This window comes from Homo sapiens, chromosome 15, assembly GCF_000001405.40.
Source record: "Homo sapiens chromosome 15, GRCh38.p14 Primary Assembly".
Classification (NCBI taxonomy): Eukaryota; Metazoa; Chordata; class Mammalia; order Primates; family Hominidae; genus Homo; species Homo sapiens.
The window spans coordinates 99,994,296-100,019,348 of NC_000015.10; the positions used below are offsets into that span (position 1 = coordinate 99,994,296).

At 47.2% G+C, this 25,053-nt stretch overlaps 1 protein-coding gene across 11 annotated transcripts in view, besides 7 other annotated features; it reads right to left on the reverse strand.

The window, feature by feature from the left end:
- The window catches only part of ADAMTS17 (ADAM metallopeptidase with thrombospondin type 1 motif 17), a 370,539-nt gene that overhangs the window by 22,859 nt on the left and 322,627 nt on the right, over window positions 1-25,053 (reverse strand). For all 11 annotated transcript variants that reach the window (NM_139057.4, XM_005254872.4, XM_011521312.3 and 8 more), the window contains one exon: window positions 3,090-3,294. In NM_139057.4, the coding sequence (NP_620688.2) occupies window positions 3,090-3,294 (205 nt within the window). The remainder of the gene's footprint in view (window positions 1-3,089; window positions 3,295-25,053) is intronic.
- Window positions 3,285-3,912: an enhancer, noted in NCBI's record as "H3K27ac-H3K4me1 hESC enhancer chr15:100537785-100538412 (GRCh37/hg19 assembly coordinates)". NCBI's record gives its function as "activates a minimal SCP1, AML or CMV promoter by ChIP-STARR-seq in naive and primed H9 embryonic stem cells {active_cell/tissue: H9 hESC(naive and primed)}" and the evidence as "EXISTENCE:reporter gene assay evidence [ECO:0000049][PMID:30033119]".
- Window positions 3,913-4,540: an enhancer, noted in NCBI's record as "H3K4me1 hESC enhancer chr15:100538413-100539040 (GRCh37/hg19 assembly coordinates)". NCBI's record gives its function as "activates a minimal SCP1, AML or CMV promoter by ChIP-STARR-seq in naive and primed H9 embryonic stem cells {active_cell/tissue: H9 hESC(naive and primed)}" and the evidence as "EXISTENCE:reporter gene assay evidence [ECO:0000049][PMID:30033119]".
- Window positions 4,541-5,168: an enhancer, noted in NCBI's record as "H3K4me1 hESC enhancer chr15:100539041-100539668 (GRCh37/hg19 assembly coordinates)". NCBI's record gives its function as "activates a minimal SCP1, AML or CMV promoter by ChIP-STARR-seq in naive H9 embryonic stem cells {active_cell/tissue: H9 hESC(naive)}" and the evidence as "EXISTENCE:reporter gene assay evidence [ECO:0000049][PMID:30033119]".
- Window positions 7,618-8,466: an enhancer, noted in NCBI's record as "H3K4me1 hESC enhancer chr15:100542118-100542966 (GRCh37/hg19 assembly coordinates)". NCBI's record gives its function as "activates a minimal SCP1, AML or CMV promoter by ChIP-STARR-seq in primed H9 embryonic stem cells {active_cell/tissue: H9 hESC(primed)}" and the evidence as "EXISTENCE:reporter gene assay evidence [ECO:0000049][PMID:30033119]".
- Window positions 22,315-23,514: an enhancer, noted in NCBI's record as "MED14-independent group 3 enhancer chr15:100556815-100558014 (GRCh37/hg19 assembly coordinates)". NCBI's record gives its function as "activates an origin of replication core promoter dependent on BRD2, BRD4, P300/CBP and CDK7 cofactors, and independent of MED14, by STARR-seq in HCT116 cells {active_cell/tissue: HCT116}" and the evidence as "EXISTENCE:reporter gene assay evidence [ECO:0000049][PMID:35650434]".
- Window positions 22,346-22,868: an enhancer, noted in NCBI's record as "H3K27ac-H3K4me1 hESC enhancer chr15:100556846-100557368 (GRCh37/hg19 assembly coordinates)". NCBI's record gives its function as "activates a minimal SCP1, AML or CMV promoter by ChIP-STARR-seq in primed H9 embryonic stem cells {active_cell/tissue: H9 hESC(primed)}" and the evidence as "EXISTENCE:reporter gene assay evidence [ECO:0000049][PMID:30033119]".
- Window positions 22,869-23,389: an enhancer, noted in NCBI's record as "H3K27ac-H3K4me1 hESC enhancer chr15:100557369-100557889 (GRCh37/hg19 assembly coordinates)". NCBI's record gives its function as "activates a minimal SCP1, AML or CMV promoter by ChIP-STARR-seq in primed H9 embryonic stem cells {active_cell/tissue: H9 hESC(primed)}" and the evidence as "EXISTENCE:reporter gene assay evidence [ECO:0000049][PMID:30033119]".

The window sequence follows — 25,053 nt, forward strand, 5'->3', positions numbered from 1 at the left end:
CTTTCTTGAGTTATAACAAACTCAACTTTAAAAAGTTCTAGGCCAAATGCAGTAGTTCACACCCATAATCCCAGCACTTTGGGAGGCTGAGGTGGGAGGATCACTTGAGGCCAGGAGTTCAAGACCAGCCTGGGAAACATACAGACCCCAATCTCTTAAAAAAAAAAAAAAAATCCCACTGTGTCCACTGGAAAAAAGGTACATAAAGGACAAATGTTATTCCTGATATTTGTTATTAACATTTATCCCAAGATATGATCTAGCTTTCTCTTTTTTTATTTTTTATTTTGAGACGGAGTCTCGCTCTGTCACCCAGGCTGGAGTGCAGTGGTGCAATATCGGCTCACTGCAACCTCCGCCTCCCGGGTTCAAGCGATTCTCCTGCCTCAGCCTCCTGAGTAGCTGGGATTACAGGCGCCCATCACCATGCCTGGCTAATTTTTGTATTTTTAGTAGAGACAGGGTTTCACCATGTTAGCCAGGATGGTCTCAATCTCCTGACTCGTGATCCACCCGACTTGGCCTCCCAAAGTGCTGGGATTACAGGTGCGAGCCATTGCGCCTCGCAGCTCTTTCTTACGAATTCAATTCAGCTCTTTGTCTAAAGATCCCATGGGGTTTTCTTTCAAGGCTAATTAAGGCTGGTTGGAAATGCACATGCTTCAGAACTGGCTGCAATGTCCCCTGCAGGGAGTGGGGAGAGTAGCTGTGTGTGGAGTGTAGAGCTGGTTTAAAGGGTCCCCGGATGCCAGGGGTCCGTCCATGGTGGGCTTTGCATGCAGGAGCAGGGGTAGGAGGCTGATTGCAGTGGACTTTACATGCAGGAGCTTGGGCAGGAGGCCCGGGGCACTGCACTGCAGGGCTACCCCTTGCTTCTCTGTGTGGCAAGGTTTCCTGACCATTTCAGCAACTCTGTCCTCACTGTCTGACTTGTGGGCTACCCCTGGCACCAGCATCCACACAACTTGCTCCTCTGCAACCAGGAACCCATGCACCATTTCTGCCTAAGTTCACTCTTGCCTGGCCTCTATTTTGCATTGCTCACCTCCTCCCCTTGAATTTCAAGCTCTGAATGTCCAGCCTATTTCTTAACCAAACTCTGACCAGCAACCCATTCTCCTGAAGCCTTTGTCTGAGCAGTGCTGCAGGCTGCTGAGGACGGCTCCAGCTCCAAAGGGGCCTAGGAGGGTGCCCTTCGGTCTCTCTCTTTGCTTCCCATCAGGGGCGGGGCCTGCAAGCTGAGGACAGGAGAAACGCACTACCTTTTCCTTCCTTCTGGATATTTGATCCTTCTTCTAATAAAGTCGGGAAGAAGCTGGGGAGTAGGTAGTGAGAGCAATCAACACAGCTGGTTGGATAAAAGCGACCACGTCAATAAAAACTCTCCCTTAAGAAACTGAAACCCATCTGCTTCCAGCGGAAGACAGTCTCACTTTGGGACTTCAGCACGTGGGAAGCGGCAGAAGTACCAGCTTCGCGAGCTTCCCATGGGGAATGATTTGATTCCAGGTTAAATGTTCAGAAGGAAGCATTTTGCTCAAGCCTGGGCTAAGCCAGAGTTAGGCTGACTGGTGTGGTGCTCGTTCGGGATTAGGATTAGGTATGCACATAGATACAGACACAGAGAAATTTCTTTAAATCTTGCTCCCATTGTCTCACATTTTCCAAACGTAGAGATCTTCAGGGCTGTAATGATAATTGATGATGTCAGACTTGGTGGGGAAGCATTGTTTTCCCCCATAAAAAGAGTCTGAGTGGATTTTTTTTTTTTTTTTTGAGACAGAGTTTCGCTCTTGTTGCCCAGGCTGAAGTGCAATGGCGCAATCTCGGCTCACTGCAACCTCTACCTCCCAGGTTCAAGCAATTCTCCTGCCTCAACCGCCCAAGTAGCTGGGATTACAGGCATGCGCCACCATGCCCGGCTAATTTTTTGTATTTAGTAGAGACAGGATTTTACCACTGAGTGGAAAATTTATGGTTTTGATCTGATCAAAGCACAAGTCTTACTTCGATCAAGAGCCAGGCAATTAAAACCCAAAGGCTCACCTAGAGTACTGGAAAGGGGAGGGGACTGAACACCTGCCTCAACCCTTCCAGCAAGGGGCCAAAAAAAATCCCTCTAATGTTAAACTGACAAACGTAAGCATAGACAAAGACAAAAAAATCAAACAACAAAATCTCAAACTCTCTTTTCCTAAAATATCATAAAATGTAGGACTAAAAATCCTGATCTATAAACAAATACATGCCAAGATCTGTTTGAAAATTAACCTTTGTTTTAGAGCAGCCAATGGCAGACTTTTCCTTCATTAAAAATGGGCGGAATACTTTTTTATTCAAAATAATTCCAACTGTTTGGCAATAGAGGGAACTTTAAAAAATTTTCCACACTGAAGAGTGTCTTGGATGAGCGTCTCTGAGTTTTCTAGACTACGCTGGTGGAAGACCTGAGGGAAGCCTGCCCTTTATTCAGCTATTTTTTTTTTTGTAGTTTTATAGCCAAACAGTCAAAATCATTAACACAAAGTCAATGCAAAGCCCTGAAGGATGACATCACCAGAGATAAAATTGTACTCCCAGGACCAACCTTCAAAGTTAAGACTTAAGGCTTAATCCACTTCTTTCCAAAACATTTTATGGCATGAGATTTGTAACTCCAACTTGCACACTAAAAGCTGTCCCTCCTGGCATCTGACTCTCGTAATCTACAAAGACTGCTGGGGGATTAAAGGCAAACCTTTGAAACCACCTTCCCAGCCTGAGCACACCACAGTTAAATACACCCAAAGGAGAATTAAAAAGTCGGTCAGTATCTGTCTATCCTATCTTGATGTGAGAATTTTCATAGGAAATGGGATCAAACAGTCCTTCACTGTGGTGTTGACATGTACATCATCAGAGACATGGTATCTATGTTTCCGCAGCCAGGCTGTTATCTGAGATGGAAATTAAGAACACATGAGCTATAACACAACTTCAAGCTGACCTGGGGGCGAGCGAGGGCTGGGAGGCACCAGAATGTCACCAATACCATGGCACCGTGTTGGAGTCCCTGTGGCTGAGTCCTGGTGGCAAGCCCAGGCACCCACCTGTGACCACTCAGACGCCTCCCAGATGGACAGGCAGTCCTGGCCTTCACAGCTCTGCACTGCCGCCGGCCGGGGGCCCGGGCAGTAGAGGGGCCGCGTAGCGACGTGTGTGCCGTTCTGCAGCTGGTACACGCAGGTCACCTCCCGGTGCTGGAAGCCTTTCTCACAGGTCGCCGAGCAGGGGCTCCACGGGCCTGCCACCCACCTGCCAGACGGGAGGAAAGAGAGAGAGAACGACTGGGTGAGAGGCCAGCCTCTCCGGAGGGCCTTCCGGCCGGATCCTGGAATTGCTGCCCTGTGGTGGGAGAGAGGGAGGCAGACTCAGGAAGCTTTTCAGCCAACCCTGGACATAACTCAGAGTATCGGCACAGAGGGAGTGACTTGAGTGGTCCTCTGGTTGGATGGTCTCCTCAGCACAGACATCTTTCTGCAACCAACACCCCTACGGCAGACAGAATTATCTGGTCACGGCCTCCCTGTAGGGAATTACGTATCTGCTTGTCGTCATAGGACCTGCTTCTTTCGACAGGGTGTGAGTGAAGAGGATGCTGGCGGCGTCCCGGCAGAAGCTCTGAATGTGGTTATGTGGTTTGGCTCTGATTCTCTTTACTTCTTACCCTCTGCTGGGAGAACAGTCCCAGTACAGGGAATGTCCCTACAGACAGCCCGCACCACTACCGCCTGCGCTACTGTCAGTGATGGAGATGTTGCAGTTGTTTGTTGCTGCGGCAATAGGGGATTGATACAGCCACTGACAAAGAACCCCCCAGCCCACACCGGTCCCAGCTTGATTAACCAGAACTAGGCCCTCCCTGCTTTCCAGAGCCTGGGCCCTCCGGAGATGGCTGTGGTGCCTGAGAGTGGCACGTTGTGGGCCATGGGAAGACAGAGGCTGTTGAGGTTGGCGTCTGAAAGTGTTCTTCTAAAACTTCGGCTCAGGCTGGGCGGTGGCTGACGCCTGTAATCCCAGCACTTTGGGAGGCTGAGGCAGGTGGATCACTTGAGGTCAGGAGATCGAGACCAGCCTGGCCAACATGGTGAAACCCCGTCTCTACTAAAAATACACAAAATTATCCAGGCGTGGTGGTGCACGCCTGTAGTCCCAGCTACTCAGGAGGCTGAGGCAGGAGAATCGCTTGAACCCAGGGGGTGGAGGTTGCAGTGAGCCAAGATCGCGCCACTGCACTCCAGCCTGGGTGACAGAGTGAGACTGTATCCCCCAAAAAATAAAAACAAAAAATAAAACTTCAGGTCCCTGCCTGATAGCCTGATGATCCGATGCATTAGGCATCTCTGTTGGCCTCAGGGCGCTGGAAAGCAGCTGAGCAGCTTGGGAATCATGCTTCCTCATGACACACAAAGGGCTTCCAGTGCCCTTTTGCGAACACTAAGGGATCTCCCCTGCTTGCTTTCTGGATGAGCCAACTGGCTTTGCCCTTTCTTGTCCTGCCTCATAAACTCCTCGCTTCCAAGAGTTCGCCACCTGACAAAGCAGCTTGACCTGTGCACTGCCAGGTCTGACAGCCACTCAGTTCCTCCTCATTAGTCAAAAACAGTCCTGAATCCCGCCCCAAACCAAGTCTGATCATGCCATGCCGGGCCATCCCACTGTTGAGCAATGTCTACCGCTTTTGCCCACTGGCAGGATCCTTTGAACGGGTACTGGACGGTGCCAGCTGTCTCTCGCTTTCCGGTCCCAGCTGAGTGGCTCATCTGCCCATCCAGGCACTGCAGATTTATCGAGGGCCTCCCACGTGCCAGGCACCTTCTAGGTTCTGATGAGGAAGCAGTGAGTGAAGCAAAGTCCCTGCCCTCTGAAGCTTACATTCTGAGGGGGGCAGACCATATATAGCCACTGAACCATATATATCACCATAGCATCTATAACAAATATACTAAATGAGATTAGAGACCGTAACACACAGTCACAAGTGCTCTAGAGACAAGTCAAGCAGCGTGAGCAGAACAGGGAGTGGGTGGGGGTGTTATCTTACAGCAGGATGCAGGGAAGGCCTCGCTGGGAAGTGGACATCTCAGGAGAGCCTGGGAGGAAGTGAGCCCCGTGACTACGTGGGAAAAGGCTTCCAAGGCAGAGGTCACAGGGGTGCAAAGGCCCTGGTGGAGGGGCACGCTGGCGGGGTGGAGGCGGAGTGAGGAAGGGGAGAGCGAGGGGAAAGGATGGGATTTGGGGGGCAGAAGGGTGAGATACCTAGGGCCTGGCTGGCCCTGGTGGCTCTTGTTCAAATAAGATGGAATACTGGAGGGTTTTGAGAGAGGAGTGACATGTTCCTTTCGGCTCTGAGAGGACCACTGGCTCGGTGTGGATACCAGTTTATAGTGGGCAGAAGCAGCGGCAGGGAGACCAGAGAGGAGGCTCCTACGGCAGTCCCAGTGACGACGGCACTGGTCTGAACCAACTGGGGTGGCGCCGGCATCTCTGGCGCTGAGAAGACAGAGCCACCTGGGCTCCTCCCTCCACCCCAGGTTGTCCCTCCTTGTCCCAGAGCACCTCCTCTGGAGCTAAGTTCCAATCCTCTTGGCAGAATCATCACTCTATCCTCAGGCTTCTGGGGCCTAACTCCAGTGAAGCCCTTCTTGGATCCATGGCTCGCATGGCAGGGATGGGAGCCACAGTGACTCCCTTGGGGTGCAGTTGTGAGGACAAGTGGCACATTGTCCATAAACTGCTTACAACAGTGTCTGGCACACCTGAAGCCCGTGTAAATGTAACTCTTAGCTATCATTGCTGTCATTGTCTCCTTGGTAGGAGATGGAGAACTCCTGCAGGGTGGCCATGAGCCTCCCATCTCAGCACCTGGCCACACTCAGCACGAAGAGAATTGAGCTAAATTCTACACATTTCTCCTAGTTCATTTCTCCTAGTTCTGGTCTTTGGAGTAACCCAGAGGCCTTCTTAAATATGTGAAGACAGTTCTTTTGTTCCCCTTTAAGTTTTCTCTTCTTTTGGCCAAGAGTTTGTGTGGCAGATGTTCAATCCCTCCCATTCATTTTCTACTCAGTCACGACTTTTCTTCCAGAGGACAACATGGCCCAGATGTGGCCTGGAAGCAGCAAGAATGAATGTGATGGATAGGGACAATAAGCACACACATACTAAAAAACAGCCACTATCTTCTTTATTTTTTGAGATGGAGTTTCGCTCTTGTCACCCAGGCTGGAGCGCAATGGCACGATCTCGGCTCATTGCAACCTCCACCTCCCAGGTTCAAGCGATTTTCCTGCCTCAGCCTCCTGAGTAGTCGGGTTTACAGCCATGCGCCACCACGCCTGACTAATTTTTGTATTTTTAGTAGAGACGGGTTTCACCATGTTGGTCAGGCTGGTCTCGAACTCCTGACCTTAAGTGATCCACCTGCCTCAGCCTCCCAAAGTGCTGGGATTACAGGTGTGAGCCACTGTGCCCGGCCCCAACCATACTGCTCCCCAGAATACACCTTAACACTAAAAATACAGAAGAGACATAGTCTCAAATAAAGGAGACATCTTTAAAATGAATAAAAACGTATGCTTATTTCTCTCATTGCTCCTGAGAAATGGTGAAAGCTTTCAGAACAGACTGGTTTCTAGAATCATCACTGTAGAAGTATTGGCTCCAGGACATAGACCTTATGCCTGCTGGGGGCTATGGTCAAGAAAATAGAGGGAAGAACACCAGAAGGTGCTCTTGGATGGAGATATGGAAAATATTCAGCGGGGCAGACATTTACTGAGCATCAGCCAGGTTCACTAGACTTCTGGGCCTTCAGAGGACCCAAAGCTCTCCCCAGGGTGAGAATGATGAAGGCCATGATCCAGGCATGCCCATTACCCCTGAATCTAGAATCAGCCACATCTCTCCTGAAGGAAAACAATGTCTGTACTTGGGAAGAAGAGGCACAGAATAGGAGATTGGTAGCTGTGTCATTTCTTTCTTTGCTCACAATCACAAAATAAACTGGTCTCTTTTCCTTTTTTTTTTTTTTTTAAAGAAGGAAAGTGGTTGGAGCACAGAGAATTTTTAGGGCAGTGAAACTGCTTTGTATGATGCTATAACGGTGGAAACATGTCATAAATCTGTCCAAACCCACAAAATGTGCAACACTGAGAATGAAGCCTAAGATGAACCATAGATGTGGGTGACGATGATGTCGTGATGTGTCAGGGTAGGTCCCTCAGCGGTAACGAATGTAGCACTCTGGCGGGGAGACCATGCGTGCCTGCAGCAGGCAGTGTGTGAGAAATCTCTCTGTACCTTCCTCTCAATTTTGATGTGAACCTACAAGTACTCCACAGAATCAAGTCTAGGCCGGGCACAGTGGCTCACACCTATAATCCCAGCATTTTGGGAGGCCAAGGTGGGTGGATCTCCTGAGGTTAGGAGTTCGAGATCAGCCTGGCCGGTATGGTGAAACCCCATCTCTACTAAAATACAAAAATAGCCCCCCGTGGTGGTGTGCATCTGTGGTCCCAGCTACTTGGGAGGCTGAGGTGAGAGAACTGTCTGGACCGGGGAGGCAGAGGTTGTAGTGAGCCGAGATTGCACCACTGCACTCCAGCCTGCCAGCCTTGGGGACAGAGCGAGACTCAGTCTCAAAAAAAAGGCCAAACCCAAAAAAAAAAAAAAAAAAAAAAGAAAAAGAAATTTGAATGTGATGATTTTCTTTTCTAAAATAGAGACTCTGACTTCATCAATGTTGTCCAACTTGATACTATTTCTATATTTTTAAGCAGCCAGATTAAACATATTAACTTCCCCATCCTGGGCTGCTTTTTGTCTCTCATGAACTGACTCCCACAAGATCTCCTTTGTCCTGCCCTTTTGCAGTTGACTTTGTGAATAAAGACGTCAGGCTTTAGGGTGAGACCTGTTTGGCGCTATTGTGCTGACCCCAGCTGTGAAAACGGCTTTGAGTCTGCTCCCGCCTTTGCTTGTGCTGTGCTTCCAGGGCCAAGCCTGAGAAGTGGGGCCCCTCTGTCTTGCTCATGGGGATGCCACTTGGCATGCCGTAGGCCACAGGGTGCATGGCCATTCCCAGCACGTGACCACGGCAGGTGCTCTAGTGGACGTGAGCAGCGACTCTGGTTGACACAGAGGCCACATCCAGGACACACTGGGGGGACGAGGGAAGAGCTGGGCGAGGCTCAGCAGTCCTGCCCTGATGTCTCTACATCCGCCGTCACCTCGCTGACTTAAAAAGCCAGATCTGCGGGGAAACAGAGTCAAGAGGAACGTGGAAAAAGCAAAAATGTCATTCAAAAAGTTTTGTAGATTTAAGAGGCTTCCCACAAAAGTGATTTCTTGATTTGAGCAATTTGGAGAAATGGCCCTGGGAGGGGCACTGTTTTCACATGGGAGATTCCTGCAGAGCAGTGAGGGGCGGCTGGCTGTCCTGCCTCTTCTCTCCTTTGCTTCTTGTGCCAGAATGGAACATACCTCATGCATCCCTCCTTCCTGCTGTCCAGCCCTTTCCCGCGGAGTTCTTACAATCTCCCTCCTTGTCACAGCCCAGAGCCTCACAGGGGGAGGGTTACACAGCCCCCAGCACATGAGGTGTAGGTGCAGCCCACGGGTGCCGCCCTGCTCCTCAGCCAGGGATGCTCTGCCATTCACCCCTCCTCTGGGGCTGCCCCTGCCTCCCTCCTATGGTGCAATGGGCATCGCCAGATGGACTGATAAACTCTCATGTCCTGGGGCCCCTGGAATTCAAAAACAAGCTCCACCTGCCGAGAGCACAGCCTCCCAACCCCACCATGGGGGACCTCGAGTCTCCCCATAAGAGAGGAGCACAAATGCACTCACGACCATGGGTCCCACACCAGGCAGCTCAGGGCACAGCCCTTGCTCCACGCCCTTCCTTCTACTTCCCAGCTCCACCTGGGGTTCTAGATGTATAGTCAGAAATACGGCTCAGCCCACAGGAGCCACATAACCAGCCGGATCAGCAGTATACGAGGCTCACTGCTGCAGAGGAGGTGAACACGGGGCTGTGGGGGCCCAGGGAGGCGACTTGCTCTGCCTCAGGGTTGGGGAAGTGATGTCTGAGCTGAGTCTCAGTCAGCAGGGTTGGCCGCGAGTAAGCGAGGCCACTGTATCCTGTTTTACTCAGTTTTAAACTCTATCATCCAGTGTTAGAATGATGCATAGCCACTGAATGGCTATGTGGATAGATTAAAAAACGGTATGGTAAGATGTTTGCACACCTGTGTTCACAGCAGCATTATTCACAATAGCCAAAAGGTGGAAACGATGCAAGTGTCCATCAAAGGATGAATAAAGTGTAGTATATGCATACAAGGGAATATTATTTAGTTGTCAAAAAGGAGATTCTGATGCATGCTACAACATGGATGAGCTTCATGCCAAGAGAAAGAAGCCAATAACCAAAGGAGAAATCCTGTGCAATTCCACTTATGTGAGATCCCTGGAGCAGTCAGATTTATAGAGACAAAGTAGAATGATGGTTGCCAGGAGCTGAGGGGAAGGGGAATAGGGAGTGAGTGTTTAATGGGGGCAGACCTTCAGCTGAAGAAGATAGAAAAGTTCTGTGTTTGGATGGTGGTGATGGCTGCACAAGGTGAATGTACTTACTGCCACTGAACTGTACATTTACAAATGGTAAGATGGTAAATTTTATGTGTATTTTACCACAATTAAAAGAATGATGTCAGTGGGTGGTTAGAAGCAAGTTGTAAATCAGTGAAGAAAAGTCGCAGAAGCGAAGTGTTTCTTAAGCCGCAGGCAGCCGAAGGGGAGAGCAGAGCGCTGTGCCCGGGGTGCACACGTTCACACCTGCAGTGCAGGAGGAGCCGTCTACGGGGGTTGCTGTGTGGACTTTGTGTACAAGCACTCCGCAGCGTATTTTAGCTGTTTTTCAGCTAGACTTTTTGCTTCTGATCTTGACAAATCTCAATGAGGTATGGGCAGAAAATGACTTCCTTAAAACTTCTTTTTTTGGTGGCATAAAGAAATCATTTCACCCAACCCCCCCTGGCTCCAGGAGCCCACCTACGACACTTGAACGACACTGTGCAACTCACCACCACAGTCAAATCACGTTGACTTTAAATCCAGTAATTTGGGAAAGGAACTGTAGTTCCGTAAAACAATTTATATTCCAATTACATTGTAAGCCCTATTTTTTTCCACTAGTAAGCCCCAAAAAACTTTAACAGCAATATTTATTAGCCAAGTTTGAGGTAGCTGCTCTTCTTAAAAGCATGATACTGTAATTCTTTTTTTTTTTTTTTTTTTTTTGAGTGGAGTCTCACTCTGTTGCCCAGGCTGGAGTGCAATGGCGCAATCTCGGCGCACTGCAGCCTCCACCTCCCGAGTTCAAGGGATTCTGGTGCCTCAGCCTCCTGAGTAGCTGGCATTACAGGTGTGCTCCACCATACCTGGCTAATTTTTGTATTTTTAGTAGAGATGGGGTTTTCCCATGTTGGCCAGGCTGGTCTTGAACTGCTGACCTCCAGTGATCCGCCCGCCTTGGCCTCCCAAAGTGCCGGGATTATAGACATGAGCAACCACACCCCGCTCATTTTTGAAGTTTTAGTAGAGATGGAGTTTTGGCATGTATGCCAGGCTGGTCTTGAACTCCTGGCATCAAGTGATCTGCCTGCCTCGGCCTCCCAAAGTGCTGGGATTACAGGCATGAGCCACTACGCCTGGCTGAAACTGTAATTCTTTAGGAAGTCACAGTTAACGCTTCTCTAATTCAGGGCACCCCTTCTCCTGATCCTCCTGCGACTCTGCTTCCTTTCCTGCCTAGCACTGACTCAGTTCCTCTGCATATGCTTCAAGTTAAATCATCCTAATGAGATGCCTCAGGCAGCTCAGTGACCATATGAGACCCTGTATTCTTAGTGCTACTGTAACAAATTACCCCCAACTTAATGGCTCAAAATAACACAGATTTATTATCTTACAGTTCTGGAGGTCAGAAGTCTGGCATGAGTCTCTCAAATCTAAAACCAGGGTGCTGAGAGGGCTGGTTCCTCCTGGAGACTCCAGGGAAGAATCTGTCTCCTGCCTTTTCCAGCTCCATGCTGCCCCATTCCTTCTTTTCCAGCTCCACGCTGCCCCACTCCTTGGCTTGGGGCGTCTTCCTCCATCCTCAAGACCAGCAGTGGTGGGGGAGTGTTTCTCACACTGTGTCACTCCGACCTTCTCTTCTGCCTCATCTCCTACCTGGAAGGACCCTTGTGATGACCCCAGACTCACCCAGATAATCCAGAATAATCTACTTTAAGGCCAGCTGATTACCAACCCGATAATCAGTTGGCCTTAAAATTTGCCGATAAAAGGACTGCTAATAAAAGCATCACAACTGACTACCAACCTGTATTAGTTTGCTAGGATTGTCGATAAAAGTATCACGAATTGGGTGGCTTAAAACAACAGGAATCTATTCCCTCACAGTTTTGGAGGCCAGAAGTCCAAAACCATGGTGTCAGTGTGGCTGGTCCTCCCAAGGGCCCTGAAGGAGAACGTGTTCTGTGTCTCTCTCCTAGGTTCTGGTGGCGGCTGGGAAGCCTTGGTGTTCCCTGGCATGCAGAAGCATCACTCCAGCCCCAGCCCCAGCCCCAGCCCCAGCCTGCATCTTCCCACAGTGTCCTCTGTGTGTCTGTGTCCTTACATGACCCTCTTCTTATAAGGATACCTGTCATATCAGATCAGGGCCCAACCCTACTTCAGTATGATATCATTTTACCTAATTACATCTGCCACGACCCTGTTTCCAAATAAGGTCACATTCTGAGATACTGGGGGTTAGGACTTCAATAAAAGAATTTTGAAGAGGACACAATTCAATCCATACCACAACCTTAACACCATCTGCAACCTTAACTCCTCTTGGCCACACAGGAGGCCACATATTCTCAGGTTCTACGGATTAGAATGTGGACACCTGTGGGGCCGTTATTCTGCCAACCACACACTCACTGCATTCCCAATTCTGAAAAAACTCAGCTCCTATTTAAAATTCAATTTCTATTTACATCTTGATTTGGCTGAGATTTAAACTAGGTAAAGGCCTTGTGAGGTCTGCTGATGTGACAGTTGTTGCAAAGAAACAATGCCATCATCAGGGTCACACTTTTCTGACACAGTTATTTTATGTTGAATATAGAGGGAATCTCAAACGCAGGTAGCCAAAGAGAGAGCCCTGGTAGGTCGTTATTTTCAACAACTTTAAATTATCAAAAAACAGCATGAGATGTTGTATTCCAGCACAATCTGGGCTAACAAGTGGTTTGTCCAGGGGTCCAGTGTTAACTTTGTGCCTCCTCAGAATGGGCGCAAAAGAAGGCGCTGGTATCGACTGAGTGTCTAATCTGTGCCAATCTCTGTGCTAGGAATGTTCCCCACATTCACTCAGTTAATCAAAGTAAGGAAACAGGTGCCTGTATGTGATTCTCTGAGCATCTGTTAGAGACAGGCCAATTCCAGGCAGGGCATCAAGAAGTCAATCATACAACATGGCAGCATAAAAAGGGTGGCAAACACCGCCCAAGCTCCAGAAAATGCAGGCCAGGCCAAAGGAAGCAGCCACTGGCACGGTCAACCCGCTCAGTCTCAGCCTCTTTGTTCCCAGATACGTGAGTGTCAACCTCACGTTGAGTCCTGAACCAAGGGCTGGGACACCTGACTCAGTTTCCCCACCTTCACAAACCTCAGGCAAGTGTGTGGTCCTCAGGGGTGGGAGAAACATAAAAACAGACAATTTCTTTAACATCTGACAAGTGCTGTGAAGGAACTGGAGCTTGGGTTGGGTCCTGAAGGTCAAAGTGGAGCTGGTCAACCAAATAAGCGGGGCTCAGCATTCAGACGGAGGGAGCCTGCCCTCACAATGTCCAGGAGGTGGAGGGACTGTGGTGCAACTGACAAGTCTGGGATGTCTGGTCCACACCTTAAGGCTGGGGTGGGAGAGAGGTGGCCTTTGGTACACTCAGGAATCATGTGCCAGAGGGCAAGATGATGGCTTTCCCCAAGGCAGTGGTGGCAAGGGGACAACATGCCTTGGTAGAAGACTTTTTTTTTTTTTTGAGACGGAGATGGAGTTTCGCTGTTGTCACCCAGGCTGGAGTGCAATGGCACGATCTCGACTCACTGCAACCTTTGCCTCCTGGGTTCAACCGATTCTCCTGCCTCAGCCTCCCTGGTTGGAAGACTCTTAAAGGGTGGAGATGACAGCGTCTTTGGTATGTGGGGTCAAAGAGAGAAAGAAGGCAAGAAATGTCAGGCTCAGGACTCTGAGCCCAAGAATGTTGGTGGTACCTCCACTGAGAAGGAGCACCCGGGGAGGAGCTGGCCTGCGGTGGAAGGGTGGCGCTGCTTTAGAGGCCGGGTTGAGGGGCTACCGGGTGCAGTGTCAGGCAGGTCGGCAGGTGCAGTCTGCAGCTTGGGGTGCGGTCAGGTTGGAGACATAGGGCTGGAAAGTCATGAGCAAAGGAGGTCAAGGGGGAAACCAAAGGTAAGAAGGGATCATCCAGACAGCGCAGACACAGAGAAGACAGCTTGGAGGGCAGGGGCTTGGGGAGTGCAAGCACCTGGGGGGAATGACAGCCTCCAGAAGAGATGCAGAGGGGGTGACCGCCAGGTCAGGGATGCCGGGAAGGGACTGCACCTGTAGTGCTGGGGCCTGAAAGGCATCTTTGGATTTGGCAGCAGGGAAAGGCTGCTGGCCCAGAAGAGGCCTCAGGGGGAAGCAGGGATGGATGGGTGAAGGAGAGGGTGGTCCCAATGCCTCTTAAGAAACGTGGTCTGATGCTTGCTGAGTGGGCTCTGCAGACCCTCCCTCTTAGAGGGGCACTGAACTTTGGAAACCAGGCCTGCCCAGAGGTGCCTGGGAGTCGGAGGGGGTGTGTGGGGGCCTGTGAGCCTCTGGCCTAGTGTACTGTGTGAGGAAGAGGAGAGGACAAGGGGATTTCTGTGGCCAGGGGAAGCACCCAGGGTGACCAAGAGGTAGAAGCAGCCACTGAGAACAGGCTGCTGCAGACACATGGGAATGGGACCCTGCCCACAGGTGGTGCCTCATGGAAGAGTCATCGTGGGCCAAACAGTAGAGCCCGTGACTCATCAGAGGCAATATCCAAGATGGGGCAGCCAAGGGGAAGGAGGCCAGGGCCCGGGGGCCCAGGAGGACACCTGAGGGGAAGGCTTGGCCTTGGCCAGCGCTGGACTGCCATCTCCCCTTGGGGTCTGGTGACGAGCCTGGGCTGGTGGATTATGGCATCCTGACAAGGAGCCCAGCCTGAAGAGTGATCTCGTCCCTTCCTGTCCCAGGGAGACTTGGGCATCTGATCTGGAAAGCGAGATGGATCAGAGTTCTCACTTCTCATTTATTGTCTGCCCTGAGCCAGCCTGAAAAAACAGGCCCACACCTACCCCTGGTGGGTCAGCCCTGTGACTCTAACACACATGTGGTCACCCCTCCAGTTTGTGCCGTTTTTGTTTGTTCGTTTGTTTCTGAGACTGGATCTCACTCTGTCACTCAGTGTAGAGTGCAGTGGTGCAATCTTGGCTCACTGCAGCCTCGACCTCTTGGGGCTCAAGTGATCCTTCTACCTCAGCCTACTGCATAGCTGGGACGACAGGCGTGTGTCACCATGCCCGGCTAATTTTTTGATTTTCTGTAGAGACAAGGTCTCACTATATTGCCTAGCCTGGTCTTGAACTCCTGGGATCAAGCGATCCTCCCTTCTCAGCCTCCCAAAGTGCTAGGATTAGAGATGTGAGCCACTGCGCCTGGCATACCCTGTCCTTTTCTACCCGCTGTCTCATTCTCATGCCCACTGTAACTCCCAGAGGAAGAGGCATGAGACCTGCTGGTTTCCCTTTACAGAGGGAGAAAACAACTTGGAGAGGCAGCAAGACTGGCCTCGGGCTCCCCTATTCCTATGTAGGTGGGTCCTCTGTGCCTCAGTTCAGGGGCTTTCTTTTTTTATTCATATAATCCTACTTCCAGCACGGGTGCACCTGACTAGCCTCATCATGACCCTGAAAGTTCCAGGTGCCCACATACTGAAGTCAGACCTTCTCAAATTCTCAGAAGGACCTGGACAGACCCAGACTCAAGTCCTCACCCCACTGACTCCCCAGCTGTGCCACCTTGGGGGAGTCTGTGCTCAAGCCTCAGTTTCCTTCTTTGTGAGATGTTGCTCTCATGTCACAGGCTTGTTGGAGGCGTGACTCAGGTGACCTCTACCGAGCACTCAGCCCAGGCCTGACACTCCACAGGCCCGATCAACCCCAGCTTATTACAACTGTTGTGCCCGTTACTCTCCATCCAGACATCGGTCTTGTTAAGAGGAGTTGCTGTTCCCCCAAAGCCCTCTGGAATGGACAGTCTATGTGGACGGTCCGAACCAAAACAGAGATGGTCACATTCATCTTAATTTTTTTTTCTAACTTTCAACAGATTTACATGATTTAGACATGAGGGACAGAACACTCACAGCTGAAGGCCTCTGAGTACTGAATCCTATTTTGGATTTACCTGCTCTGAGCTTTGAGTTTGATATGGTTTGGCTGTGTCCTCACCTGAATCTCATCTTGAATTGTAGCTCCTATAATTCCCATGTGTCGTGGGAGGGACCTGGTGGGAGGTAACTGAATCATGAGGGTGGTTTTTTTCCCGTGCTGTTCTCAAGATAGCGAATAAGTCTTGAGATCTGATGGTTTTATAAAGGGCAGTTCCCCGGCACATGCCTTCTTGTCTGCCACCATGTAAGATGTGCCTTTGTTCTCTTTTGGCTTCTGCCATAACTGTGAGGCCTCCCCTGCCACGTGCAACTGCGAGTCCATTAAACCTCTTTCCTTTATAAATTGCCCACTCTCGGGTATGTCTTTATTAGCAGCATGAGAACAGACTAATACAGGGTTCCTCACCCATAAATCAGGGGCAAGAGCAGTGGGCGTGTGTGTGAGGACTGAATGATAAGTAAATATATTGGGCATGGGGAAATCAGGAGGTGCCTGCACAGGGGATGCTCCAGGCATGCACATCCCTTCCTTCTCTCCGTGGTGCAGGACCAGGGAGAAAGCAAGCACTCTGTTCTGCTTTGCTGTGGGAGGCAAGGCCCTTCCCAGTGCACCTGCAACACTGTTCTCCACGTGTGCTGCGAGCCTATGGGTGAGAGGCTGTGGCAGGAGCTGGCCAGCCAAGAGGCCATGCTCCCAGGCCCTTCCCAAAAAAGACCAGCGTCAGAGGTTCCTGTCTGCCTGAGACTGGGTCCCTCTCACAGCTCCTGGCAGATGACAGCCAGCAACTCTGTTACGAGAACAACCAAAACACAGCTTTAACATGTGCCATGCATAGTCCTGAAGACCTGTGGCTGCTTTTATTGAACAGATGTCTGCAAAGGAGTGAGGTGAGGAGGTACAACTGGGACTTTACTAGCTGGGCTGCAATGTTCTCCCAGGGGACCCAGAGGGACGCTTTACAGGCACACGTGAGGCTTCCATGCAGCCTTTCTCCATTTAAAACTCGAGAATTATGAGTTCTCATATACATTTCCCTGAAAAGTAATATTATTCCCATATTTGCTTTTTGAAAGAGGAAATGAAAATCTACAGCACACTGTGAGGAGCACGGCACCATCTGTGAATGTGCGCGTCTCCGGAAGCCGGCGGTTCTACGTGCAGAGAGGCCCCGCGACGCAGACAACGTTGTCTTTTGCTAACAGTGAGGACTACTGAGAAACCACTTTCAGCCTTAAATCCTGTATAAAAAACACTGATTTTGAGGCTTCAGTTAATTAGTTCAACCCCAAGAATCGAGATGGGTGATCAGCCAGGGTCTTTCCATGTTTTCCTGAAAAAATTCTTGGGCCATGATGGTTAGTTCTCATTTGCTGGGGAAAGAGACAGAAAGGAAGGAAGGAAGAAGGGAGGGAAGTAAAGGAGGAGGGAGGGGAGGGAAGGAAAGGAGGGATGGGAGGGAGGGAGGGAAGGAAAGGAGGAGGGACGGGAGGGAGAGAAGGAAAGGCAGTAAGGACAGAAGGGAGGGAAGGAAGGAGGAAAGGAAAGAAGAAAGGGAGGAATGAGGAAAGGAAAAGAAGGAAGGAAGGAAAGGAGAGAACAAAGGCAGGCAGGAAGATTTTCAACACTTTGCTATTATAAAATATGGTTTAAGGGAAAGTATTTCTAAAATAGATTCTCTAGTTATTATACCAGCTAAGCCTTTTTCAGAGCTTCCTATGTGCCAGGCAATGTTCTAAGCACTTTATATGATTCAACTTATTTGATCCTTGCATTGATCCTATAAAGATCCATTCTATAGGTGAGGAAACTGAGGCACAGTCTCCAATCTCACTCAGGTTGCTGCAAATGCCATTAATTCGTTCTTGTTTATGGCCAAGTAGTATTCCATCATATAAATATACCACAGTCTCTTTATCCACTTGTTGACTGATGGGCATTTGGGTAGGTTCCAAGATTTTGCAATTGTGAATTGTGCTGCTACAAACATGCAAGTATCTTTCTTGTATAATGACTTCTTTTCCTGTGGGTACATACCCAGTGGTGGGATTGCTGGGCCAAATGGTAGTTCTACTTTCAGTTCTTTAAGGAACCTATACACTGTTTTCCATAGTGGCTGTACTAGTTTACAGTCCCATCAGCAGTGTAGAAGTGTTCCCTGATCACGGCATCCATGTCAACATCTACTGTTTTTTGATTTTTTGGTTATGGTCATTCTTGCAGTAGTAATGGGGTATCGCATTGTGGTTTTGATTTGCATTTCCCTGATCATTAGTGATGCTGAGCATTGTTTTCATATGTTTGTTGGCCTTTTGTATATCTTCTTTTGAGAACTGTCTATTCATGTCCTTTGACCACTGTTTGATGCAATTGTTTTTATTCTTATTGTTTTGAGTTCATTGTAGATTTTGGATATTAGTCCTTTGTCAAATGTATACATCGTGAAGATTTTCTCCCACTCTGTGGGTTGTCTGTTTACTCTGCTGTTCCTTTCACCATGCAGAAGCTCTTTAGTTTAATTAAGTCCCAACTATTTATCTTTGTTTTTATTATGGTTGCTTTTTAGTTCTTGGTTATGAAATCCTTGCCTAAGCCAATTTCTAGAAGGGTTTTTCCAACGTTATCTTCTAGAATTTTTATAGTTTCAGGTCTTAGATTTAAGTCCTTAATCCGTCTTGAGTTGATTTCTGTTATTAGGTGAGAGATGAAGATCCAGTTTCATTCTCCTACATGTGTCTAGCCAATTATCCCAGCACCATTTGCTGAAAAGGGTGTCCTTTCCCCACTTTATGTTTTTGTTTGCTTTGTCGAAGATCAGTTGGCTGTAAGTATTTGGGTTTATTCTGGGTTCTCTATTCTGTTCCATTGATCTATGTGCCTATTTTTATACCAGTACCATGCTGTTTTGGTGACTACGGCCTTATAGTATAGTTTGAAATCAGGTAGTGTGATGCCTCCAGATTTGTTCTTTTTGCTTAGTCTTGCTTTGGCTATGCAGGCTCTTTTTTGGTTCCATATGAATTTTAGAATTGTTTTTTTCTAACTCTGTGAAGAATGATAGCAGTATTTTGATGGGAATTGCATTGAATTTGTAGATTGCTTTTGGCAGTATGGTCATTTTCACAATATTGATTCTACCCATATGTGAGCATGGGATGTGTTTCCATTTGTTTGTGTCATCTATGATTTCTTTCAGCGGTGTTTTATAGTTTTCCTTGTAAAGGTCTTTTGCCTTCTTGGTTAGGTATATTCCTAAGCATTTTATTTTTTTGCAGCTATTGTAAAAGGGGATGAGTTCTTGATTTGATTCTCTGCTTGGTCGCTTTTGGTATATGGTAGAGCTACCAATTTGTGTACATTAATCTTGTTTCTGGAAACTTTGCTGAATTCTTTGATCAGTTCTAGGAGCTTTCTGGAGGAGTCTTTAGGGTTTTCTAGGTAAACGACCATACTGTCAGCCAACAGTCACAGTTTGACTTCCTCTTTACCAATTTGGATGCCCTTTATTTCTTTCTCTTGTCTGATTGCTCTGGATAGGACTTCCAGTACTATGTTGAAGAGGAGTAGTGAGAGTGGGCATCCTTGTCTTGTTCCAGTTCTCAGACAGAAAGCTTTCAACTTTTCCCCATCAGTACTGTGTTGGCTGTGGGTTTGTCATAGATGGCTTTTACTACATTGAGGTATGTCCCTCGCATGCCGGTTTTGCTGAAAGTTTTAATCATAAAGCGATGCGGGATTTTGTCAAATGCTTTCTCTGCATCTATTGAGATGATCATGTGATTTTTGTTTTAAATTCTATTTATGTGGTGTATCACATTTATTGACTTGTGTATATTAAATCATCCCTGCATCCCTGGTATGAAATCCACTTGATCATGGTAGATTATCTTTTTGATATGTTGCTGGATTCAGTTAACTTGTATTTTGTTAAGGATTTTAGAATCTATGTTCATGAAGGATATCGGTCTGTAGTTTTCTTTTTTGGTTATGTCCTTTCCTGGTTTTGGCATTAGGGTGATGCTGGCTTCATAGAATGAATGAGGGAGGGTTCTTTCTTTCTCTATTTTGTGGAATAGTGTCACAAGGAATGGCACCAATTCTTCTTTGAATGTCTGGTAGAATTCTGCTGTGAATCTGTCTGGTCCTGGATTTTTTTTTGTTGGTAACTTTTAAATTACCATTTCAATCTCGCTGCTTGTTATTGGTCTGTTCAGGGTATGCAATTCTTCCTGATTTAAGCTAGAAGGGTTGTATTTTTCCAAGAATTTATCTATCTCTTCTAGGTTTTCTAGTTTATGTACATAAAGATGTTCACAGTAGCCTTGAATAATCTTTCACATTTCACTGGTATCAGTTGTAATATCTCCTATTTTATTTCTTAATGAGGTTATTTGGATTTTCTCTCTTCTTTTCTTGGTTACTCTTGCTAAAGGTCTACCAATTTTATTTATCTTTTCAAAGAACCAGCTTTTTGTTTATCTTTTTTTAAATTCAATTTCATTTAGTTCTGCTCTGATCTTGGTTATTTCCTTTCTTTTGCTGGGCTTGTTCTTGTTTCTCTAGTTCCTTGAGGTGTGACCTTAGAATATCAGTCTGTGCTCTTTCAGTCTTTCTGATGTAGATGTTTAGGGCTGAGAACTTTCCTCTTATCACTGCCTTTGCTGTATTCCAGAGATTTTGACAGGTTGTGTCATTACTGTCGTTCAGTTCTAAGAATTTTTAAATTTCCATCTTCATTTCCTTTTTGACCCGATGCTCATTCGGGAGCAGGTTATTTAATTTCCACGTATTTGCATGATTTTGAAGGTTCCTTTTGGAGTTGATTTCCAGTTTTATTCTACTGTGGTCTGAGAGAGTGCCTGATATAATTTCAATTTTCTTAAATTTATTGAGGCTCATTTTATGGCCTACCATACGGTCTATCTTGGAGAAAGTTCCACAAGCTGTTGAATAGAATGTGTATTCTGCAGTTGTTGGATGAAATCTTCTGTATATATCTTTTAAGTCCATTTGTTCCAAGGTATAGCTTAAATCTATTATTTCTTTGTTGACTTTCTGTTTTGATGAACTGTCTAGTGCTATCAGTGGAGTACTGAAGTCCCCCACTATTATTGTGTTGCTCTCTATCTCATTTCTTAGGTCTATTAGTAATTGTTTTATATATTTGGAAGCTCCAGTGTTAGGTGCATATATGTTTAGGATTGTGATATTTTCCTGTTGGACAAGACCTTTTACCATTATATGATGTCTCACTTTGTCTCTTTTAACTGCGGCTGCTTTAAAGTTTTTTTCGTCTGATACGAGAATAGCTACCCCTGCTCACTTTTGCTGTCTATTTGCATGAATTGCCTTTTTCCACCCCTTTACTTTAGTTTATGTGAGTCTCCTGAAGGTAGCAGATGGTTGGTTGGTGAGTTCTTACCCATTCTGTGGTTCTGTATCTTTTCAGTGGAGCATTTAGGCCATTTACATTCAATGTTCCTATTGGGATGTGAGGTACCGTTGCATTTGTCATGCTATTTGTTGCCTGTGTACCTTGCTTTTTTTTGTTTTTCTTTTTGTTTTTTAACTTGTATTTTTGTTTTAAAGGTCCTGTGTGATTTATGCTTTAAAGAGGTTCTGTTTTGATGTGTTTCCGGAATTTGTTTCAAGATTTAGAGCTCCTTTGAGCAGTCCTTGTAGTGGTGGCTTGGTAGTGGCGAATTCTCTCAGCATTTGTTTGTCTGAAAAAGACTGTATCTTTCCTTCATATATGATGCTTACTTTTGCTGGAAACAAAATACTTGGCTGATAATTGTTTTGTTTGAGGAGGCTGAAGATAGGGCCCCAATCTCTTCTAGCTTGTAGGTTTTCTGCTGAGAAATCTGCTGTTAATATGATAGGTTTTCTTTTATGGGTTACCTGGTGCTTCTGTCTCACAGCTCTTAAGATTCTTTCCTTCATCTTAACTTTAGATTACCTGATGACAATGTGCCTAAGTGATGATCTTTTTGCGATGCATTTCCCACGTGTTCCTTGTGCTTCTTGTATTTGGATGTCTAGGTCTCTAGCAAGGCTGGCGAAGTATTCCTCCATTATTCCCTCAAATATATTTTCCAAACTTTTAGATTTCTCTTCTTCCTCAGGAACACTGATTATTCTTAGGTTTGGTTGTTTAACATAATCCCAGACTTCTTGGAGGCTTTGTTCATACTTTCTCATTCTTGTCTTTGTTGGATTGGGTTAATTCAAAGACCTGTCTTCGAGCTCTGAGAATTACTTTCTTCTACTAGTTCAATCCTATTGCTGAGACTTTCCAGAGGATTTTGCATTTCTGTAAGTGTGTCCAATGTTTCCTGAAGTTTTGATTGTTTTTTCTTTATGCTATCTATTTCCTTGAATATTTCTCCCTTCACTTCTTGTATCGTTTTTTGGATTTCCTTGCAGTGGGCTTTGCCTTTCCCTGGTGCCTCCTTTATTAGCTTAATAATTAACCTCCTGAATATTTTTTCAGGTAAATCAGAGATTTCATCTTGGTTTGGATCCATTGCTGGTGAACAAGTGTGAGTTTTTTGGGGGTACTAAAGAGACTTGTTTTGTCATATTACCAGAGTTGGTTTTCTAGTTCCTTCTCATTTGGGCAGACTCTGTCAAAGGAAAGGTCTAGGGCTGAAGGCTGTTGTTCAGATTCTTTTGTCCCATGGGGTGTTCCCTTGATGGAGTACTCTGCCCCTTTTCCTATGGATATGGCTTCCTGTGAGCCGAACTGAAGTGATTGCTGTCTCTCTTCTGGGTCTAGCCACCCAGCAAGTCTACCCGGCTCCAGGATGGTATTGAGGCTTGTCTGCACAGAGTCCTGTGATGTGAACCATCTCTGGGTCTCTCAGCTGTAGATACCAGCACCTGTTCCAGTGTAGGTGGCAGGGGAGTGAAATGGACTCTGTGAGGGTTCTTAGCTTTGGTGGTTTAGTATTCTATTTTTGTGCTGGTTGGCCTCCTGCCAGGAGGTGATGCTTTCCAGAGAGCACCAGCTATGGTAGTATGGAGAGGGATCAGTGGCAGGTGGGGCCCTAGAACCCTCAAGATTATATGCCATTTGTCTTCAGTTACCAGGGTGGATAGGGAAGGCCCATTCAAGTGTGGGCAGGGGTGGACGCGTCTGAGCTCAGACTCTCCTTGGGCTGGTCTTGCTGTGGCTGCTATGGGGGATGGGGTTGAGGTTCCCAGGTCAATGGAGTTGTGTACCTAGGAGGGTTATGGCTGCCTCTGCTGAGTCATGCAGGTTGTCAGGGAAGTGGGGGAAAGCCGGCAGTCACAGGCCTCACCCAGCTCCCACGCAATCCAAAGGGCTGGTCTCACTCGCAACGTGCCCCCTCAACAGCCCCGAGTCTGTTTCCAGGCAGTGGGCAAGCTAGGCTTGAGAACTTGCCCCAGGCTATCTGCCTCCCAGCTGTGAAAGAAAAGGGCTTGTTTCTGCCCCCACCTGTGGAATCTGCACACTGGATTTGTGCCCTCCCCCCAAGTTCTGGCCAGGAGGCTTCTTGCCCGGTTCAAATTATTACATAGTTCAGCTGGAGACTTCCTTCTCCCTGTGGTGTTCAGCCTCTCCTCTGGCCTCCCTCCCGATGGATCCCTGTGGTGCCAGGCAGGAATGGCCTGCTTGGGGACCCAGGGAGCTCCCAGGGCCTTTCCCGCTGCTTCCTCTACTTCTGTATTTCACTCGACTCTGTAAACTAACTCAGCTCCAGGTAAGGATGGAAACTTCCCCCGAAAACAGACCTTCATTTTCTCCAGTGGGGGTGTATGTTTGGGAGAGGATGCTCTCCCTTTCCCACTTCCACAGTTTGGGCACTCACAGTATTTGGAGTGTCTCCTGGGTCCTGCAGGAGCAGTCTGCTTCCTTCAGTGGGTCTGTGAGTCCTCTTGGGGTTGCTGGCTTGTTCTTGCAGGTTCTAGATTATCACCATCATCACACAGACTTCCTATTATGTCTTTTTTGATTATAGTCATGCTAGTAGGTGTGAAGTGGTATTTCATTATGTGTGTTTTTTTGTCGTGGTAAAATATACATAATGAAATTTACCATCAAATCCATTTGTAAGCTGTACAGTTCAGTGACATTAAGTATATTTAAATTATTGTATAGACACCAACCCCATCCATCTCTAAAGCTTTTCATCTTCCTACACTGAAACTCGGTGCCCACTAAACAATAACTCCCTATTTCCTGCTCTCCCTAGCTCCTGGCAACCACCATGCTACTTTCTGTTTCTGTGAATTCACTACTCTAGATGCCTTATATAAGCGGAATCATACAGTATTGTCCTTCTGTGACGGGTTTTCACTTAGCGTAATGTCCTCAATGTGCATCTGTGTCGTAGCCTGTGTCAGCATTCTTTTCTTTTGTAAAGCTGAACATACAAATCAACTAAGAGAAGACAAATTGCCTAATCAGATAATGGGCAAACAATAAAAGAAAAAAATCACTTAAGAAGAAATATAAATATCTCCCGATATGGGTTGGCTCTGGGCCCTCACCCAAACCTCATGCTAAATTGTAATTCCTCGTGTTGGAGGAGGGGCCTGGTGGGAGGTGATTGGATCATAGGGAGGATTTCCCCTTTGCTGTTCTCATGATACTGAGTAAGTTCTCAGGAGATCTGGTTGCTTAGAAGTGTGAACCACCTCCCACTTCTCTCTCTTCCTCCTGCTCCAGCCAGGTAGGAAGTGCCTACTTCTCTTTTGCCTTCTGCCATGAGTGTAAGTTTCCTGAGGCCTCTCCAGCTGTGCTTCCTGTACAGCCTGCAGAATTGTGTGCCAATGAAGCCTCTTCTCTTTTACATTATCCAGTCTCAGGTAGTTCTTTGCAATGTGACAACAGACTAATACATCCCCCAAACATCTGAAAATATTCAACCTCACCACAGAGCAGGGGAATTTAAAAACCAAATGAGGACGTGCCCTTTCACATCTATCAGACTGACAACACTAAAAATATGTGACTAAGCCACATTTGGCCATGATGGGAGAAATGTTCTCACACGGTACTGGTGAGATGCTATCTACAGGTAACCCCTTTGGAGTAAAGCTCAAGTTATGTATAACCTATGCCTTATTCCACTTCTAGGGATACAGTTTCTTACACATGTGCCCAAGAAAACCAGAAAACGACATTCACTCCATAATTGTATAAACCTCAAATGGCAATCCACCTACGTGTCCATCGATGGCAGAATGAATAAATGTGTAAGACGAAATCATATAGAAAACGAATGCCAAAGAGCTACAGCAGCAACACGGCGAGTTCCCAGGGGCAAGACAGATGTACATACCCTAAGAGACTATTTAAGACACAACAAACAATACTCTCTTCTGTTTGTGGATATATACATATATAGTGCAAGTTTGAAAATTTGGGTGGGATGAGATGCATACATACCAACAGGGGAAAGGAGGAGAACGGGACTAGGGAGGGTCAAAAAGGACTTCCAACGTATCTGT